The 6,000-nt window shown below is 40.6% G+C and overlaps 1 annotated feature.

The window, feature by feature from the left end:
• Window positions 4,881–5,095: a silencer, noted in NCBI's record as "fragment chr15:96943980-96944194 (GRCh37/hg19 assembly coordinates)". NCBI's record gives its function as "represses an EF-1alpha promoter that drives an FKBP-Casp9 reporter gene in an ReSE screen in K562 erythroleukemia cells {active_cell/tissue: K562}" and the evidence as "EXISTENCE:reporter gene assay evidence [ECO:0000049][PMID:32094911]".

Raw genomic sequence — 6,000 nt, 5'->3', positions numbered from 1 at the left:
TCACCGTCATTAAAAGATACCCCTCCATTGTAGGGAAGGGATCAGAAACTTTCATCAATTTGAAGAAAGCTGAAGGGCTTGGAGGATCAGTAATTGTCTATCGAAGTGACCCGTTCATGTCTTGCCCAGATTGCAGTTAATGGAGAGCTGTTGTTCACTGACAGGGTGTTTGATGGTTTCTAGAAAATGAGTGGCTGTTTTCATTCCTGTTCCAAATGGACAGGTGTCTACATCAGAATTGGCAACCTGGTTGGCAGATTCAGAGTGGCCAAGGAGCAAATTGTTTATGGAGAATAAACTTCCCTCCCTCCCGTGATGACTGTGCACACGTGTGAGTGCTGGCAGTGGGGAGGAGGGAGAAGTGGAAACGTCGGAAGTGGAAAGATTGATGCAGGTCCATAGAACATAAAGGGGCTGAAGCCCCTTGGTTCTGAGTGACGCCATATGCAATTGCACCTCTCCTGGAGCCCAACTTTTGCTTATCCACATTGTGCTCTAAGTGCACAAATAAAAGTTTGTGAAAGTCACTTAGTTTCCCTTAAAATGCTCATATCAATCTCAACAAATAAAATTAAATGAGGTTTTTCGCACATGGTTAAATCAGCAATATTTTCATTCATTTTTCTTGAAGAAAGTATCTTTATTTTCATTCCCTCAGATGAACTAACAGTGCTTAAATACTGAACAGAAAGAAGAGGTAACTGTAAGAATCGCCCTGGGAATGCCTAATCCAAGGTAGGAAATGGCCCTCTTGTCCTCAGTGGATAAGGCCACATGTTATCACATAATACCTAAGGGTGACCATTAGATATATAAACATAATTATCTCTTCTTTCACATTTACACATAATCCTTACAATCTCAGGTTATTATTCATGCTAATGGTTTTGGCGTCCTGTTATTATAATGAAATATATGATAATAAGCTTTTTTAAAAAGTCATTGTAATACCCCAAGGTCTGATATCTTTTATTGTCTAAGCTCTACTTTCACATGGATTAAATTTGTGTTAAATTTTGGAATATGTTAACAATAATAACAAAAATCTCTGTGACCATGAAACTAATGCTGTCAGTATTGCTGACACTGAAGAAATTTGCCCTTAATTTTGGGCAACTTTTTATGGATATCTGTAGTTATTAGGAATGTTTAATTTTTCAATACTTATAATTTATAAGCTTCCAGTCATAAGATTTTAGAGTTCTTCTCCTTTGTCCTAACATTTTTCTTCTCTTCTTCTTTTTTTTTTTTTGAGATGGAGTTTTTGCTCGTCACCCAGGCTGGCGTGCAGTGGCGCTATCTCGGCTCACTGCAACCTCTGCCTCCCCGGTTCAAGCGATTCTCCTACCTCAGCCTCCCGAGTAGCTGGGATTACAGTTGTGCACTAACACACCTGGATAATTTTTGTATTTTCAGTAGAAACGGGGTTTCACCATGTTGGCTAGGCTGGTCTTGAACTCCTGACCTCAAGTGATCCACCCACTTCAACCTCCCCAAGTGGTGGGATTATAGGCATGAGCCACCACACTTGGCCTCTTTTCTTAATAAAATAATTTGTATAAACCTGACATTAATTTTTAGTTCATTTTTACTCTGCTACACTGCCAGAAATTATAGCAATGAAGATAAAAGACTTTGGAGTAAAGCTAACTCCTCCTCCACCTCTATACTGCATTCTGTGACATGGGGCACATCATTAATTCTCTAGGCCTCAGTTTCTTCATCTGTAAAATGGGAATGTTAATAGTCTTTATTTTACAAACTTGTTTGCAGATTTGTGACATGCTTACCCAGTTGTTTGAAGATTTGTGACATGCTTTCCATGTTTTAGGAACAGAGTAAGTTCTCAATCAGAGCTAAGCACCATTGTTGCTGTTAATGATGGTGATAGTTTTGTAACCTCGAAGTGTCAATATCTTCATCTTCATCCATGAAACAGAAACAACACCACCCAAAGGGTTATAGACAATATTTAAGTTAGTTAAAGAGTGTAACACATTTGACATAGTGGCTGAAGCAGAGCCTTCAGTAAATAGGTGGTGGGTTTGTTGCTGCTTTATTCAGGGAACCAGCGAAAATCAATGAAGTATTCACTGTGGAAAGAAAGTCCATTCTTCAAGAGTTCCACGTGATAGTTCTTCAAGTTTGACTCTAGAGGCTTAGTTGGTAGAAAATGGCATGATTGAAGCCAAAGTTGAGAATCATGCCCGGTTAGCCTCCTTTGTCCTGTGACCACAACTCATACCAGCTCTCACATGAATTCACATGTCTGGGCAGTAGTGAGACACCTCAGCAAGAGTGGGTGGGGGTGGACAGCCCAAGTCCACATCTGTTCCTGAAAAATAAATTACGTGAAATAAAACTCCAGGTACATGTTTTGCTGATCCAAAAACACGTCTTAGAATCTGAAGGAGGATGTAGAGTTTAAGTGTAATGCTTACTTTCTGATATTATTAATTTACTTGTAGAGATAGGATCACACCTTTTTTATATTTGCATTTGCATAGAAACTTTGGTACCATCTAAAGATTCTTCTTAAGGGAACCCAAAGGCACCCTGAAGCCAGCAGCTTTCAGCCCCTGCAGGAAGAATCAGGCACTTCTCTGAAAGCTTTCTCTGCCTGGAAAAGAGCCATCAGTTATGGCTCTTTAAGAACTTTACATTGAGCCAATAACAAAATTTTATTGAAGCCTTTGGGGGGTCCATATATCCCAAATACAATTTCATGTTAAAAATAATATTCCATAGCTTCAGAAATCCCTTTGTATATCAGAGTTCATGAATATAATCTCCCTCTGGGGAGAAAAGAAGAATGGAAAGTTTCCATTCTAAAGCTGTTTATGTGTAACACAACTAAATAAGATTCTTGTCCTGACTTATTCTGTATTTAAAACCAAGGATTCCTCAACTGATTAGATAGAAAAATGGGTTGTTCAGAAAGCCCCAATTGTATCAGATTTGGGTGTGTGTGTGACTTGTATCAACACTGCTCAGTGATGTTTAAAACCTCTAATGTCTTCAGTTCAGCAAGAAAGCCAAATGGAATTGGGTTTGATCCATTTTCTCTAAACATAGTTGCCTCATTTCTCTAAGAGTAAATTGGATTTGGTGAAGATTAAAAGGTAGGCATAGAGAAGTAACTTCTCCCCCAGTTGTCACTGACAACCCACACAGCCCAGTGTTTGCCATGTGCCTGTTGTCTGTTTTTCTGACCATAGGGAGCAGCTCAAATGACAGGCACACAGATGGACGCATTGTGTGATTAATGGTGTCTCCCAGGCCTGGTGGAGAGGCTGCAGGAAATGGTGGCATATATAAGCGAGTCCTCTTTTTGGTTTAGTGCTCCTTCCACGGTTTGAAGTAGAGAAGAATCAGGAAAAATTCCAACCTCATTGTTTGCTAGAAAATATGAAGGTACCCTTCTTTCTTTTTCTGGAATCACTTGCCAAATCCGGGAATTTAATGGGAGACCACACCAACTTCCTGATTTGCCCAACAAAATTATATTCTCCCTCTCTCCCTTCCTCCTCCTCTTCCTTTCATGCTTTGTTCCTTCCTCCCTCTTTCTGTGTTCTTTTCTTTTTCTTTGCCTTTTTTTTTCCTCTCTCTCATACACTACCTCACCTCAGCAGCCTCAAAGTGGACCACTAGAGTAAGCTCTCTGTAAAGTCTCTGAGGAGTGAAAAAAAGTGTGTAGAACCAGCCTGGTGTGGTGGCTTACGCCTGTAATCCCAGCACTTTGGGAGGCTGAGGCAGGCAGATCACCTGAGGTCAGGAGTTCGAGACCAGCCTGGTCAACATGGCAAGACCCTGTCTCTACTAAAAATACAACAAAAAATTAGCCAGGAGTCGTAGTGCACAACTGTAATCCTACCTACTTGGGAGGCTGAGGTAGGAAAATCACTTGAACCCAGGAAGCAGAAGTTGCAGTGAGCCCAGATTGTGCCACTGTATTCCAGCCTGGGTGACAGAGTGAGATTCTGTCTAAAAAAAAAAAAAAAGAAAACAAAACAAAACGAAAAAAACAGAAAAAGCGTGTGGATCTGGGAAGGCAGGAGCAGGCAGCATGAAGGCCTAAGGACCCCCAAACTCATCAAAGGGGTCATTCTTGGGTCTGGTGATTCTAATGTGTCAAGAACAAGATATCATAATTTCATCATTAAAAATGAGTCAAACACAAGGCCATATCCTCAGGATCATACCCAAAGCTGAGATTCTTTCCTTGGCTTTACATTTTAATTTATTTTGTTTTTATTTTTATTTTTTGAGACAGTGTGTTGCTCTGTTACCCAGGCTGGAGTGCAGTGGCAAGATCACAGCTCACTGCGGCCTCAGTCTTCTGGGCTCAAGCGGATCCTCCTGCTTCAGACTCCAAAGTAGCTGGGACTACAGGTGGGTGCCACCATACCCAGTTAATTTTTTTAAATTTTATTTAGAGACAGTGTCTCCCTATGTTGCCCAGGCTAGTCTTGAACTCGTAGGCTCAAGTGATCCTCTTGCCTCAGCTCACAGCTGTGAGCCACCTCTCCCAGCCTAATTTATTTTGAATACCAAATATTAATAGAAACACTGAAATGGCTTTTTAAAATTTAACTTCTTTTTGAAAAGGTAATAGAACCATGCAAAAAGTAGAAAGGGGTGAAAATACTCTTCCAGTTCTATCTCCCAGCCCCGCTTACTCAAGTTCACCAATGTCCCCTTTAAAAAATCAATAGACTTTTTTTTGGTAAGGAGTTTTAGGTTTATAGAAAAATTGAATGGAAAGCATAGAGATATATATTTCCTCATCAGCTTCCCCTATTATTAACATTTTCCATTAGTGTTTGTTTGTTACAACTGATGAGCCAATATTGATACATTATTATTAATGAAGATTCATAGTTTGCATTAGGGTTGACTTCTTGGTGTTGTACATTCTATGGATTTTTACAAAGGTATAGTGACATATATCCATCATTACAGTATCAAAGAAAATAGCTCTACTGATTTAAAAATCATCTGTGGGCCGGACATGGTGGCTCACACCTGTAATCCCTGCACTTTGGGAGGCTGAGGGGGGAGGATCACTTGAGGTCAGGAGTTCGAGACCAGCCTGGTCAACATGGTGAAACTCTGGCTCTACTAAAAATACAAAAATTAGCCAGGTGTAGTGGTGTGCACCTGTAGTCCCAGCTACTCGAGAGGTTGAGGCAGAAAAATTGCTTGAACCCAGGAGGTGGAGGTTGCAGTGAGCCAAGATCGCGCCACTGCACTCCAGCCTGGAGAGCAAGACTCCATCTCAAAAAATTAAAAAGAGAGAGAGCAAAAAATCCTCTGTGTTCTGCCTGCCTATTCAACCCTCCCTTTCCCTAAAACCCCTGGAAACCACTGGGTTTTTGTTTGTTTGTTTGTTTTACTGTCCCTATAGTTTTGCTTTTTCAATACTGTCAGAGCTGGTATCATACAGTATGTAGCCTTTTCCTATAGGCTTATTTTACTTAGCAATGTGCCTTACTACTATTATTATGCCTAAGCTGTGCAAAAGCTCATCTCTTTTTATTGATGAATAATATTCCGTTGTCTGGATGTATCACAGCTTGTTTATCCATTTACCTATTAAAGGACACCTTGGTTGCTTCCAAGATTTGGCAATTATGAATAAAGCTGCTATAAACATTCATGTGCAGGTTTGTCTGTGGACATAAATTTTCAACTCATTTGAGTAAATACCAAGAAGTGTGATTGCTAGATCATATCGTAAGAATATGTTTCGTTTTGCCTTCCACCCCAATGCCCCTTTCGGTGGTTTGCAAGTACGCGTTAGCACAATAGGTACTTAACAGAGATGGAGATGCAGACCTTGCCAATAGCTCCAGACGGACACCAAGGCAAGCGCTGCCTCCGTCTAGAGGAACATGGGGGTCACCGTGAGGAGCATGAACTCCATCAGGCTACAGGGGAGCTTTGCGATTTACTTGGTCTGCGACCTCAGGCAAATTGCTTACCTTTCTCATGCTTTTG

Source organism: Homo sapiens, chromosome 15, assembly GCF_000001405.40.
Source record: "Homo sapiens chromosome 15, GRCh38.p14 Primary Assembly".
Lineage (NCBI taxonomy): Eukaryota > Metazoa > Chordata > Mammalia > Primates > Hominidae > Homo > Homo sapiens.
The sequence above is the reverse complement of the archived record's forward strand: the minus strand, read 5'-3'. Positions and strand labels throughout refer to the sequence as shown.